This window comes from Homo sapiens, chromosome 1 (assembly GCF_000001405.40).
Source record: "Homo sapiens chromosome 1, GRCh38.p14 Primary Assembly".
NCBI classification, from domain to species: domain Eukaryota; kingdom Metazoa; phylum Chordata; class Mammalia; order Primates; family Hominidae; genus Homo; species Homo sapiens.
In genome coordinates this window covers 235,210,296-235,225,795 of record NC_000001.11, presented here as the reverse complement: position 1 = coordinate 235,225,795, position 15,500 = coordinate 235,210,296, and the positions used below count along the sequence as shown (strand labels likewise).

At 34.6% G+C, this 15,500-nt stretch overlaps 1 protein-coding gene across 11 annotated transcripts in view; it reads left to right on the top strand.

Moving 5' to 3' along the window:
- Positions 1 to 15,500, top strand: part of ARID4B (AT-rich interaction domain 4B) — a 161,278-nt gene that overhangs the window by 102,384 nt on the left and 43,394 nt on the right. For 5 of the 11 annotated variants that reach the window (NR_135074.2, XM_011544212.4, NM_016374.6 and 2 more), the window contains exons 12-17: positions 1,021 to 1,093; positions 2,536 to 2,630; positions 4,134 to 4,231; positions 5,251 to 5,494; positions 5,828 to 6,003; positions 11,770 to 12,027. Coding sequence is in view for 10 of the 11 variants with exons in the window: in XM_011544212.4 (XP_011542514.1) it covers positions 1,021 to 1,093; positions 2,536 to 2,630; positions 4,134 to 4,231; positions 5,251 to 5,494; positions 5,828 to 6,003; positions 11,770 to 12,027 (944 nt within the window). In the remaining variant the exon portion in view is untranslated. Of the gene's footprint in view, positions 1 to 233; positions 302 to 1,020; positions 1,094 to 2,535; positions 2,631 to 4,133; positions 4,232 to 5,250; positions 5,495 to 5,827; positions 6,004 to 11,769; positions 12,028 to 15,500 lie in introns of all 11 variants that reach the window. The other 6 variants (XM_047422531.1, XM_006711781.4, XM_024447626.2 and 3 more) reach the window with 4 other exon arrangements.

Sequence of the window (15,500 nt, the reverse complement as noted above, 5' to 3'; positions counted from 1 at the left end):
CGCTAAAGCAGTGGCATTAGGCACATGATTTTCCAAATTGAAAAATGCTATGTTTTTATTTATTTAGATTACCAGTTGAATATCCTAACTTTTACTGTTACAAATCTGTATATTTAAGCCAGAGTAACTGTAAAGCCTAGCTGTATATTTGGAATCATTTTCTCTGCAGTTACTCCTAATCATGTTCTGTAACAGTAGGCTCCATAGCCTATTTTTTCTTTTATTTGATTCAGCACCTGGCATAGTACCTACACTTACAGGTGCTCAAGTGTTTGTTGAATGGATGAAAGTCATTGAATTGGTGAGTTCCTCAATCTTAACCTACTACCCTGCTCCTTGCAGGTTGCTTCAGGACCAGCTCCCTGCTGCCACAGCCCTTGGCCACAGCAGCAAGAAGCTAGTCCTTCCCTTGTAATTGATAAATTGGGGAACTATTTTATTACTTGAAGATTTCCCTAAGTCTGAATCTTCAGGTATTGTAGATCAAATTTGTTCCCCACTTTACTGATTATGTAAGCTTGAAGTATATACAGTGGGGCTGCATAAAATGAAGGATACTTGCAGTCAGCTAATGGGACCCATACTTTTATAGTACCTTGAGGAGCAATAATAGAATTAGTTTTGATGTTTAACTCTGATCCAGTTTCGCATAAGTTGAGAGTAGGTATTCTTGAACCTGTGATCCTGATTTGAAAAATAGCTCTCTCATATGGTAAAAAAAACAAAACAAAACAAAACAAAACCACGAACAGTCTTGCTAGTCCCTTTTCTCATATGGGAATTTTTACTGTGGGGATTCTAACTATTGGGATACTTTTTAAGGCATATTCCTCTATAAAACATAAAATGTCTAGACTTACCTGGTTTTGAACAGCTTAGTGTTAAAAGAGTAACTTTGATTACGTAAAAAGCCTTTGAAGTATTTTAATGAACACTAGTCTTTGCTATTGGTAAGAAATCTGCTTGTTTTATTAAAATGCTTAATTGAAGAAAATAATATTCTTCTGTGATTAAAATTAGGAAGAAATAGAACCATTTCCAGAAGAAAGGGAGAACTTTCTTCAGCAATTGTACAAATTTATGGAAGATAGAGGTGAGTATTTTTTATTTATCATTAACGTGGTAAGTTTTGGACAGATAATTAGTATCTTAAAAATAAGAATAGAATTTTGTTTACTGAACTTTATGTCATCAGTAATTATGGCTGTCTTTTTGACTCTGATATCACCAGCACCTAGCATAGCGCCTGTCACGTAACAAGTAGAATGAGGAATTTGATAGCATTTTGACAGATATTGTGGCTATGGACACATAAATGCACTTATTACCCTGTCCTGCCAATCCCTTTACCTATCCATGGGTCCCTAAAGAACAGTAGCAAAATGGGAATTAAGCCAGAAATAGATAAAGAAGTGTGACAAAGTCTCAAAAGTGAGCCTTGGCTCAGCTTATTTAATCTGCCAGAAGCTGCTAAGGCCACGGAAGGATTGAAGGAAGAAGAATAACTTAGGGTAATGAACTAATCCTTCCGTAACCTCAACACTGTTATTCTCTAGCTTATCTTCTTGGTCAGAGTCTACTTTCTTCTTTTCTGGGAAGATGCTTGTAAGGGAGTAAGGAGAGGCTTTCTAGCTGGAAGGGAAGGGCAAAATGAATGATTAGTGTTTGGAAACACCACAATACTCTGGGAATTGAACGTTTTCTAAATCCCTGATTGTAATGCTGATGAGTAGAAACTGACTCTGTTTGTCATGTTTAGTTTTCATAAATGATAACAACGCCTAACACAATATAAGTATATTTTCTTTTTCAATATAAAATGTCTTTGATTCTTGTATTATTTCTTTACATGAATGGAGGGTTGGCCTAAGAAGTATGCTGTTTCATAGGCTCTTGTATAAGATAAATGAAAAAGCAAAGAAAATGAATAAAATCTAATACTAGAAAAGAATGAAAAAATATGATTAAGCCAGTCATATATTTTGTAGAAATGGCCATATGAGGCATTGTACCCCTACCCTGTTACCTCCTCTACCACTTTCTCATGGTTTGTTTGATTTAGCATCCTTGCCTTGCGTTTTCTTGTGTTAGAATGAAAAAAAAAAAAAAATGTAGCTTTACTATAGAATCATTATTTAGAGTAGTAGTAAATTGGTAAAATACAAAGAAAATGCCATAAAAGTAACTCTTATTGGGAAGCAGTTATCTAGTATTTCTTCCCTCAGCAGAGGGAAGAAAGTAGAATGAAAATAAAAGGTTTCAAGAATCTGGTTATGGTTTTTAAAATTTAAAAAATTTTAAAGTGGCCATGGGCTTATTTATGTGTAGATACCATGTCTTTGATTAACAAGATAATTTCTCATATATATATATACATATATATGTATATATACACACACATATATATACGTGTATATATATATATACGTGTATATATATATAAAATACTATAAATACTTGTATTATTTGAATCTTTTGAAATTTTAAATTAAAAATGTAGTGTGGATCTAATATAGTTTGTGTTTTCTGTAACAGGTACACCTATTAACAAACGACCTGTACTTGGATATCGAAATTTGAATCTCTTTAAGTTATTCAGACTTGTACACAAACTTGGAGGATTTGATAATGTGAGTGTTGTAGTCAAACTGAAACATCTTTTTCATGTAACATGTTTTCTCAGGTATCTGCCATCTCTGAAATTGTTTTTCTAAACAACAAAACAAAGTTTTTCAGTAAAAACCTAAGAAGAAGATAAAGTGGAAAGTACAGCTAGCCTCCTCAGACAAAATTTAAATTTTAAAGATTTTTTAGGCCAGGCATGGTGGCTCATGCCTGCAACCCCAACACTTTGGGAGGCTGAGGCGGGTAGATCACTTTAGGCCAGGAGTTCAAGAACAGCCTGGCCAACATAGCAAAACCCCATCTCTACAAAGAATACAAAAATCAGCCAGACGTGGTGACGCACGCTTGTAATCCCAGCTACATGGCAGGCTGAGGCACGAGAATCGCTTGAACCCAGGAGACAGAGATTACAGTGAACCAAGATTGCACCGCTGGACTGCATTCCAGCCTGCGTGACAGAATGAGACTCTGTCTCAAAAAAAAAAAAAAAAAGATTTTTTTTCATATCAGCTTTCTGATTACTGTTAAATTGGTCAATCTTTCATAAACCTTCTTTTTTTATCTGAGTCACAGCACAGCCATATTGGTGGAAATCCTTCCTGTGTCTCTTTTTCATTAGACAGTATGCTCCTTAAGAGCAGGGATCTGTCTTAATATTCTGTATATTCTTAATCCCTTTCAGAATATAAAGGGATTAAAGCAGGAAATGTTTGTTGAACTGATCTGAAGAAATTATTTTAAGGTTGACGTGATGTACGATACTTATCCAATTGAGAATATTCTATGGAATAAAATACTTTACAAATTTCTGCAGAACTGCATTTATTAGCCTGTATATTTTATGCGAAATAATAAATCCTTTAAAAATGTTTGTCTCCATTTCTTTGTTAAAAATTTTGATTTAAGAGCCTGAATATTTTTCCATTTTCCATAACTGGGTTTATTTAAAAGTCAAATGGGGCCAGTTATGGTGACTCATGCCTGTAATCTCAGCACTTTGGGAGGCTAAGGCCAGGGGATTGCTGGAGCCCAGGACTTTGAGACCCGCCTGGGCAACATGGTGAGACTCCATCTCCACAAAAAAAATTTTTTAATTAGCCAGGTGTGGTGGTGTGCATCTATAGTCCCAGCTACTTGGGTTGTTGAGTCAGGAAGATCCCTTGAGCCCGGAAGTTCAGGGCTGCAGTGAGCTGTGTTTGTGCCACTGTTGCTGCACTTTAGCCTAGGCAATAGAATAAGATCCTGTCTCCAAAAAAAAAAAAAAAAAAAAAAAAAAAAAAAAAATAGTCAAATGACTTAATATTTCAACATTTATAATTTTCTGATATTTGTTAGAGTACTAAAACCTTTATTTTTAAACCAAATTTAGAATTTATCAAGTTTTTAAAAATTCTTTTGAGTCTAGGACCAATAAATATAAAAATATACTCATATATACTGTGTCTATCAAAATGTTATTATATTAACACCTTTTAATTTGAGAGTTTTTGTTTCACTTTGTCCATTAGATTGAAAGTGGAGCTGTTTGGAAACAAGTCTACCAAGATCTTGGAATCCCTGTCTTAAATTCAGCTGCAGGATACAATGTTAAATGTGCTTATAAAAAGTAAGTTAGTATAATTGATATGATTATCTTCAGTATTTTTACCTAGAAAGCAGGATGAAATTTACCTTATAACTGAGGTTAATTATTTCTTTAAAGAAATCAGAACATTTTACTAGAGTAGTCATTCTATGATAGTATTTTCTAAAGTGTATTCTATGATACTAGATCTATGAGAAATTCTGTGAAGAAAGTTTTTGTGGCTAAGTACATTTGTCAAGTACTTCATAGAGGTTAAAAAGCTAATATTCTGAAGTCAAGTAAATCCACATTTGAATCCTAGTTCTGCCAATTATTAACTGTTTATGCCCTAGGGCCAGTTATTTATTCTCCTAAGCCTCAGTTTCTTCATTTGTAAAATGGAATGCTTGGCCAGGCACGGTGGCTCATGCCTGTAACTTCAGCACTTTGGGAGGCCGAGGCGGGCAGATCACTTGAGGTCAGGAGTTCAAGACCAGCCTGGCCAGCATGGCGAAACCTTGTCTCCACTAAAAATACAAAAATTACCTGAGCATAGTGGCTAACGCCTGTAGTCCCAGCTACTCAGGAGGCTGAGGCAGGAGAATTGCTTGAACCCAGGAGGCGGAGGTTATAGTGAGCTGAGATTGCGCCACTGCACTTCAGCCTGGGCAACAGAGTAAGGCTGTCTCAAAAAAACAAAAAAAAACAAAAAAAAACAAAAAAAGGATGCTGCTGTGTGCCCCAGGGTTACTGTAGTGACTAAATGAGATTTACTAAGGAGTCCAGCCTCACACATAAGAAATGTGCAAAAAATAGATGCTATTACTAATACTTTTAATAGCTGTTATTGTTATGACTCTGAGCACAGTGTTTTAAATGAATTTTTTGACAAAATTTTTTTTTTGCATTGAAAAGATTAGAAAGAACTAGAATAAATTAGAATGTTAATATGGCTCAATATCTGAGAGTTTAGACAAAAGAAATGAATACACATTAAAAATAACTCTATAGTTATATTTTGAAATGTTTTCACCAAATGTAATTTCTCTTCATGTTTCCAGATACTTATATGGTTTTGAGGAGTACTGTAGATCAGCCAACATTGAATTTCAGATGGCATTGCCAGAGAAAGTTGTTAACAAGCAATGTAAGGAGTGTGAAAATGTAAAAGAAATAAAAGTTAAGGAGGAAAATGAAACAGAGATCAAAGAAATAAAGATGGAGGAGGAGAGGAATATAATACCAAGAGAAGAAAAGCCTATTGAGGATGAAATTGAAAGAAAAGAAAATATTAAGCCCTCTCTGGTAAATCAGATATTGTTAATTGTCTTTTGCTTTCTTTGGTATATTTTCCATATCCTCTATAAAGTTCCAAAATCAATATATTGTATAATATTATTCTTTATTATTTGTTTATTTTCTTCATTAAGTGCTACTTTTGTATAATTTTTATCATAACTTCAAAATAGCTGTTAGCTATTTTTGTCTAGAGCTTTAAAGTAGCAGGAGTTTCTTAAAAGTAATTTATAACTTTTAATATTAGAATTGGTTGATACCTCCTGTTGCTAAGAGATAAACCATGGATATAGGTTGAAAATTTTTACTTTTGTTGGTTTCTTTCCTCTGATCTTTTTCTAGGGAAGTAAAAAGAATTTATTAGAATCTATACCTACACATTCTGATCAGGAAAAAGAAGTTAACATTAAAAAACCAGAAGACAATGAAAATCTGGATGACAAAGATGATGACACAACTAGGGTAGATGAATCCCTCAACATAAAGGTAGAAGCTGAGGAAGAAAAAGCAAAATCTGGGTAAGAAAATTGTTTTTGGTTACGATGCATTTCAGCTTGATGGATTCTTATCATTTGCTCTTTGTATGTGTTTATGTATGAATCTAAATTAATTGACAAAATATTAAATAATAGAGTGATTGGCATTTATTAATTAAATAGCATTCACTTCTTTCAGAGACCCTACTGATAGAAATTTGTAGAGAAAGATCATACTTTGATCCACCCTTCTTGCTCTCATCATGGAAATTGATAAAATTTTTAGCTAGAGCAAAGTACTTTTTAGGTCTGCTGAATTACTTGATAATATAAACTTGGGGCTATGTCCATGTTTTATATATTGTATGTTGGCTATAGATTCTGAGAGTTGTATTTATTTCTTAAGCAAAAGCAAGAGTGGAAAAATACTAAAGTTTTAAAAGGCCAAAAATTGTATGTTCTATTTTATGTGATAGTAGCATTTGTTTGTTTTAGTCACTTGGAATGATGAATTATTTGACAATGTAATTTATGCACTGCTAGTGGACCCCTGGATTTTATAGATAATCTTTGGCATTGAATCTTTTTTCTGAGGCTTAAAAAACATAAACATATCTGTTAGTGTCTCATTTAAATAAGTACAATGAATTAAAAAAAAAATCATTTAGCAGGCCAGGTGCGGTGGTTCACGCCTGTAATCCCAGCACTTTTGGGAGACCGGGGCGGGCAGATCACTTGATGTCGGGATTTCAAGACCAGCCTGGCCAACATACCGAAACCCTGTCTCTTCTAAAAATACAAAGAAGTCAGGCGTGGTGACATGTGCCCATAATCCCAGCTACTCAGGAGGGTGAGGCAGGAGAATCTCTTGAACCCTGGAGGCAGAGGTTGCAGTGAGCTGAGATCGTACCACTGTAGGCCAGCTTGGGGGATCGAGTGAGACTCTGTCTCAAAAAAAAAAAAAAAAAAATCATTTAGCGTACTGACATTTGGCCACAGTATGCAGACGAACAGGGAAGGGGAAAATAAAAAATGGGGCTTATATGAATATAGTAAAAAATGTTTATTATACTTTGTTGTATTTTTGTGTATAAAAATATATATTTGAAGTATGCCTTACTGCTGTTGGAGACTATTTCAAGTATTAAGAAACAGTAAAGATTTCAGCTTTTTGCCTAAAATCTTTTGATTGATCAGAGTTCTGAAATTTTGGTGGCACCATACAAACATGGAAGAAAAACATCCTGGGTTTAGAAGAATGTAGTAAAAGTGTTTGTTGATTATACTTTGTTATATTTCTATGTGTAGAAGTGTATGTTTAAAGTACTGCTAAAGGAGATCATTTTGATAAGAATCTTAATAAAGATTCAGCTTTTTACCAAAAAATCTGATTTTTAAATCTGCAGATGTTTCTGGAACATCTGCTGTTTGCAAGGCACTGTGATAAATCTGTATTTTTTTCTTTGCTAATTTTTTAAGTTGGTGCTTCTGCTTATTTTATAGAATAAACTGTATTTTGTAGGTTTTTAACAACCCCTTTAACTGTATAATTATATGGATTTTTATGTACTACAGATATTTATTAGTATATGCGTACCTCAAACTAAAATTTTCCTGATGTGACTGCCCTAGTTTGGTAGATATTTTTTAGAAGCATTGCAGTTGGGACTGTTTATATAGTACTCCCTGCTTTTCCACAGTTTCAGTTACCTGTGGTCAACTGTGGTCTGAAAACAGGTGAGTACAGTGCAATAAAATATTTTGAGAGAGTGAGACAAGACCATATTCACATAACTGTTATTATAGCATATTATAATTGCTTTGTTATTAGTCATTGCTTATCTCATGCTGTGCCTTATTAATAAATTAAACTTTATCAGAGGTATGTATGTATAGGAAAAAACACAGTATATATAAGGTTTGGTACTATCCACGGTTTCAGGCATCCACTGGGGATCTTGGACTGTATCCCTTGCAGATAAGAGGGGCTTACTGTAATTGATTTTTGAGTTTTATTAGATAATTGCAGTGGAAAATTTTACAGTGATAATTAATATATAGGTATTTTTCTGGCATATAAACTTTCTCTAAGTAATAGGCTACTACCAAGAATGTTCAGTGTCCTTCTTCCATTGTCCAGATGTGGGAGATTGAAGAAGTTGATATATGTAAAATGTCTAGTTCAGTGCCTTGGCCATAGCACGTACTTAATACACTATCTTTTTTAAAATTTTTGTTTCATTGTAAAGAGTGTAATATCAAGTAGGGAAGATTTGATATTTCTTTGTGAATTCAGATGAAAATCCTTGCTGATACATTTCGTTTCCCAAGATATTCTTCTCTAAAATATGACTAGCTTAAATGCATATGTGTGTGTATGTATGTATGTATGTATGTGAGTGTATGTATGTATATGAGTGCATGTATGTAGTGTATGCATCAACTTAATTTTTTTTAACCTGTATGTATGTTGGTTGCATTTTATACTTTCAGAGGCTCTCTTTCTTGGCATTCTGTGTTCCATCTGGTTTAGCACATTAGTCTTGAATTTGCCACTGAAGTCTTAGAGAGTAGAATAGTTTTCTTTGGTTGATTGCCAGTAATTATGTTGTTTTTTTCTTTATACTTCAGTGTATTATTAAAGTGAATTTCATTTGGTTTGTGTCTGAGGGTGATATTAAATGTATATTTTTAATTTTTGATTGCTTGATTTCATTAATAAAAGAGTGTTGGGTTTTTGTTGTAGATTGAATGAAAATTTGCCTGGGCTACTACTTAAAGTATGATTGTGCTTGCTGTTGGCATTTAGAATTGTTTGTATTCATCAACTCAGTGTATTCTATGATGTAAGATACAGCTTGGAGTTTGTCGTCATTTCAAAAAATTTAGAATTTTGATTCTATATCTCATTTTTATATGATGATTCTGAGGTGCATGATAAATCTCTTTTATTGTGGCCACAATAAAATATGCTTCTTTTCCCCACTATGCAAAGATAGAGTCTTATGACTTAGGCAAGTATTCTTTCAAAAAAAAATTGTTTTAATTTACTATATAAAATAAAATTCCTCATAATAATTTATCATTGATAATCCCATTTCTGTTAATTTTTTTGATATTTTAGCCTTAATAAAATTACTTTTTTATAATAGAAATATTATTTTCAATAACATTGTTAATATTTTAATCTCAGGCTGGGTGCGGTGGCTCATGCCTGTAATCCCTGCACTTCGGGAGGCCCAGGCAGGCGGATCACCTGAGGTCAGGAGTTCGAGACCAGCCTGGCCAACATGGTGAAACCCCATCTCTACTAAAAATACAAAAAATCAGCAGAGCGTAGTGGCATGTAGTCCCAGCTTATTGGGAAGCTGAAGCAGGAGAATTGGTTGAACCTGGGAGACGGAGGTTGCAGTGAGCTGAGATCACGCCACTGTACTCCAGCCTGGGCAACAGAGCGAGACTCTGTCTCAAAAAAAAAGTATATATATATACACGTATATATGTGTGTGTGTGTGTGTGTGTGTATACATATATATGTATATCTCAGATTATAGCTGGTTTCATGAAGGTTTTAGATTTTTTAAATACTTATATATTTGACTGTAACTGAGTCTTTAAAATAGGAATAAATCTTGAGAATTTTTGAGGAATTTGTGTTATAGTTCAGACAAAATTGATATATTTGATACTTTCGTGAACACGGACTTACTTCCACCGGTCCATTAAACATCCTGCCAACACTCCTGCCCCACTATACAAAAGGACAAGGAGAATAAAAAAGCATTATAGTGCTGCTTATATCACTATTTATATATTATTTTTGTTGCCTGTATAATTAATTAGGAATGATAAAGTATATTATCCCTAAAAAGGTTGCATATAGAGATATAAAGCTGAAATTTTCAGTGGAGGAAGTTTTTTTTTTAATATAAATATTATATTCATCAGGTGGGCACAGTGGCTCACACCTATAATCCCAGCACTTTGGAAGGCCAAAGTATGAAGATTGCTTGAGCCCGGGAGTTCAAGACCAGCCTAAACAACATAGTGAGACCCCTGTCTCTACAAAAATAAAAAATAAAAAACTATCTGGGTGTGGTGGTGTGTGCCTGTAGTCCCAGCTACTTGGGATGCTGAGGTGGGAGGATCATTTGAGCACAGGAAGTCAAGACCACAGTGAGCAGTGATCAGGCCACTTCACTCCAACCTGGATGACACAGTGAGACCATGTCTCCAAGGGGGGGAAAAATATATACACACACACACACACACACACACACACACACATATATATGTGTGCATGGTGTAATATATGTATATATATAATCATTACTCTTAATATATAATATAGCATATATTTTAATATATCATGTATTTTACATATTATTAATTTTTAAAGCTTAAATACTAAACTATCTGGTTGTTCTGCCTTATGATGTTTAGTCATTTGTGAGCCCTAAAGTGATGGAGTCTTTAAGTACAGACATACAGGACAGCAAATAAAACCAGACTAAATGTAGCCTTGGATTTCATATTGAAATTTTTTAAAAAATAAATCTAGTGTTTGGAAAGATTTATGATTGAAGATTTTCTCCAACTTGTTGAATACAGATTGGTGGTCAATATAAAAAGGATATGAATGCTCAGTTTTAGAAAGTACATGGTACTAAGAAGATAAAAATGGGTGTAAGGCCAGGTGTGGTGGCTCACGGCTGTAATCCCAGCACTTTGGGAGGCCACGGTGGGTGGATCACCTGAGGTCAGGAGTTTGAGACCAGCCTGACCAACATGGTGAAACCCTGTCACTACTAAAAATACAAAAAAAATTAGCTGGGTGTGGTGGTGGGTGCCTGTAATCCCAGCTACTTGGGAGGCTGAGGCAGGAGAATCGCTTGAACCTGGGAGGCGGAGGTTGCAGTGAGCCGAGATTGCGCCATTGCACCACTCCAGCCTGGGCGACAGGAGTGAAAATCTATCAAAAAAAAAAAAAAAAAAAAGGATGTAATACTCTTTCTAGAATAGTTTGACTTTTAGTTTCATATACTTGTAATTGGCCTCTCATCTGTCTATTTCTTTGGAACATCAAAGTTGAGAAGATTTGTAGAAGATGTTAATAAATCTGTGGTAATGAGAGTAGAAATTGTGTTGAAGTTTAAAGGAAAGAACAAACATGATAAGATATTGGTAGTACATTATTAGAATATTTCTGTTTAAATTAAAATAGTATTTCAGTTATTATAACATTTGAAAATTCGGTTGGAGAATGTTTTAAAGTTATTAAGACTGCCATCTGCTAGTAAAAATTATTGTTTCAAACTTCCTGAGGCCTCCAGCTTGGGTGACAGAGCAAGACTCTGTCTCTAAAAAAATGAAACAAACATCTTGAGGCTGGAAATATTTGAATGAAAAATAATTTTTAGTTGTAAAATGGCAATGAAGTATAATGAATTTTTTTGTCAATTGAGATGTTAAAACACTTTTATTAATAAAACATGAAAAAATTGTTAGAGTTGACCATACTTGCTTCTTGCTGTTCGGCACAAATTCTGTTCTTCTGACTTTTGGAAATTTTCTTTTACTGCACTTATTTTTGAATCTTCATTTTCTCTAAATGTGTCTTTCTGTAACCTTGGTTGTCTTACAGTTTTAGTTTTTAATAGTAAAATGAAACTCTGAGAATTTCATACACGTGGAACCTGCTTTTCCTGGAACAATCACAGCCACAACTTTTATCAATATATGTGGTTTGGAACTGAAAAACTTATGAAGTGTCTTTTATTAACTCTGCAATTTTTTAAACCTTTCAAGAGATGAAACGAATAAAGAAGAAGATGAAGATGATGAAGAAGCAGAAGAGGAGGAGGAGGAGGAAGAAGAAGAAGAGGATGAAGATGATGATGACAACAATGAGGAAGAGGAGTTTGAGTGCTATCCACCAGGCATGAAAGTCCAAGTGCGGTATGGACGAGGGAAAAATCAAAAAATGTATGAAGCTAGTATTAAAGATTCTGATGTCGAAGGTGGAGAGGTCCTTTACTTGGTGCATTACTGCGGATGGAATGTGAGGTAACTTGAGTTTTAGCTAGTGATTATTACCTAAAAACAATTATAAAATACTTTTCTATTTAAAAACTTAAGTAATGGATTACAGATTTATTAGTATTCTAATTGAGGTCATAGTACCTTATAAAAAATAGTTTTTAGCATGTAAATACCTCACTTAGTGACTTACAATTAATGTTTTCACTACTTAGAAGATATCCCTAATGTCTAGAAAACCGAGGTCTACACACTTGATTTTTATGTACTACATGTAGATCAGCAGACAAAACATTGTTGAAATGATCAGAACTTCTGGACATCTACAAACCAATTATCAGGCTGCTTGCTGTCTTGCATTTTAAACTACATTGCCACAGTAACCTCTTTTTTGTATTCTGAAGTCATTTCTTTCCTTCTGTAGTCAGGGATTTAAAATCCTAGGAAACATTAGCTATTTTAAGAAAGCCTTATCTCCTTATTAACAGCTATTGCATTACAGCCTTATTCAGAAGTCTCAGAAATTTATTAGTATCTTTGAAAAAATCTGGTTGAACATGTAAGCAGACCTGCTTCACTAAAATAGAATGCACTTTTTGACTGCTCCTAACCTAGGGAACTGAAAGGCAAGAGTGAAATTTGGTTTTAAGTCATGTTCAATGACTTAAGCATTTTTCTTAGATAAATTTTCTTTGGCTTTCCAAAGAAATTTTGTATTTTGATTTTATCCAAAATTGGCAAGCCAGTTTTGGGATCTATTCATTCAGTTATCTTTTAAGAATCATTTATTTTAGAATATTTGATAGTATATTTGAAATGTAGCCTATAAGACAGATACCTGGAAAGATTAACCATAGAAGTTTAAGTTGTGGTTTCATGGTGTACCTAGTGTCTTCAAGGAGGAATACAGTTCTCATGCTTTATACTTAAATTATATTCTGTGGTTTGGGAAGTTAATAGGAAGGCATCATCTCAAATTCTGTGTTTGAGTGTTGCAAATGAAATTTTGATTCTCTTTAATCACTTCCCACAATGCCCTTTCTCTAAAGAAAATCACTTCTGAGAGTTTTGAGGCTGTCCTTACTAACTTTTCATTCTACTTTCACATACATATAAATGTACTCATAGAAAATATATAGTATTCTTACATGCATGTGTTTTAAATAAATTATACTATACAAAATTCTGTTTCTTAAATTTTTTGTTGTCCTGTTGTGTAATAGGAAGCTCATGATCTAATCTGATTACCTTTCTTATTTTGAGAAAAGTACCAGTCCGATCCATTCTGATGCTTGGAAGAAAATAGCAAATAGCAAATAGCAACTTAAGTCATGAGGAGATGTTCAGAAGTTTTGTTTTGGTCTCATTCTTTATTATGTCTAATCAGGATACAGTTTTAGATTTTAAGAATACCTATCGTCAGAGCTTAGATGTGATAGTCATCCAGAAACATAAGTTTTTCCAGATACCACTTTAACACACTGCACAATTTATCCTTTCACCTGTTGGTTCTTTTTTTCTGTTTTTTGTTTTTGTTTTTGTCTTTTTTTGGAGATAGAGTCTAGCTCTGTTGCCCAGGCTGGAGTGTAGTGGCACGATCTCTACTCACTGCAACTTCCACCTCCCAGGCTCAAGCGATTCTTGTGCTGCAGCCTCCTGAGTAGCTAGGATTATAGGCGCCCACCATTGTGCCTGGCTAATTTTCGTATTTTTAGTAGAGATGGGGTTTTGCCATGTTTGTCTTGAACTCCTGACCTCAGGTGATCTGCCTTGGCCTCCCAAAGTGCTGGGATTACGGGTGTCAGCTGTTGGTTCTTATGCTGCCTTTCTGGTATGTGATTTTCCTCACCTGAAGGTCTGGCTATTAATGAATATATTCCAAAGAAGGTACTTGAGATCTCAGATATAGCTACCAAAAGAATATTTTGCCCAATTTTTTACTTCTAGTCATTTTGATCTTACTAAATTATCTTACCGAATATAAATGTAGAGGGAGTTCTACTTCTGCCTAGGATATAAATGTAAATGTAGAATATGTTAGTTTAAAATTAGGAAGAAAAAAGCTGGGTGTGGTGTTGCATGCCTGTAGTCCCAGCTACTGAGGTGGGAGGATCACTTGAACCCAGGAATTCGAGGCTGCAGTGAACTATGATCATGCCACTGTACTCCAGCCTGAGTGCCAGAATGAGACCTCATCTCTTAAATTAAGAAATACTTGGATTAGCAAAAACGAATAATTACTGCATAATGCCCATGAGATAGAGTCACAACACCTTTTGCCTCTCTTTTTAGTTTTTCTGATTATTTTGCTAGTTTACATGTAGAGGCAGTTTTTCCTCTTGGCCTTTATGAAGTATTTGAAATTCTATGAAAAAGGGATAGAATTTAGGTGTTCTCCAACTTTCACTGTATATAATCAGGGCTCATTTCCTTCCCTTCTTCCTTCCCTCCTTCCCTCCTTCCTTCCACGGAGTTTCACTCTTAATGCCCAGCCTGGAGTGCAGTGGCTGGATCTTGGCTCACCGCAGCCTCCGCCTCCCGGGTTCAAGCGCTTCTCCTGCCTCAGTCTCCTGAGTAGCTGAGATAGGCACGCACCACCACGCCCAGCTAATTTTTGTATTTTTAGTAGAGATGGGGTTTCTCCATGTTTGTTAGGCTGGTCTCAAACTCCTGACCTCAGGTGATCCACCTGCCTCAGCCTCCCAAAGTGCTGGGACTACAGGCATGAGCCACCGTGCCCGGCCAAGGCTTATTTTCTATTAATTGGCTCTTTAAACAAAAAAGGCTTAGTAGATATAAGAACTGAGTCATTCATGAAACTGTTTTACAATTAAGATATAGCTTTGTTTTGTTAAGAAAAGATTGACTAAAAGAAAGAGAATTCCAGGAGTATTTTGATTTTAGATGGTAGAAAGAATCTCTAGTAATTTAGTTTTTAAATAGCAGGAAGGGAAAGGAAAGAATTTAAATTGAGGCATTCAAGTTTTTAATAATATAGGGAGGAAAATGCGACCTAGTTCAACAAGACATGCTTGTGTTACTGTGAACGTTGCCATCTATTTCTGAGAACTCAAGTGCTTGTATGCTATGAACTTTCAAAAGAAGAAAACTTAACATCTTGATGAAGACCTGTAGGATGGATCTCTATACACTCCAACATCATGGAGAAAACAAATGTACTTCAGTAGATTAAGCAGTTAATCTTCTTAGAGTTAACATAACTATTTTATTTCTTTCTGCAATAATCAGTCTGTCTTATTGATAAATAAGCAATAATTTTTATTTTTGCGGCTCCTCCAGTTCTGAAGCTAATTTAATAAGGACTGCAACAAATCCTCATCAGCTGTATGACAATTTTTCTTTTATTTTTAGGGTCTTCAGCTTGATCTCTAAATTTATACTTAACAGATGTGAAATTGGAAATGAAGATTTATGCGTGGAGGTTCATGAAAATAGTTTTATCTTCAGTGGTAGTCATTCATGACAAGCAGTTTGGGAGA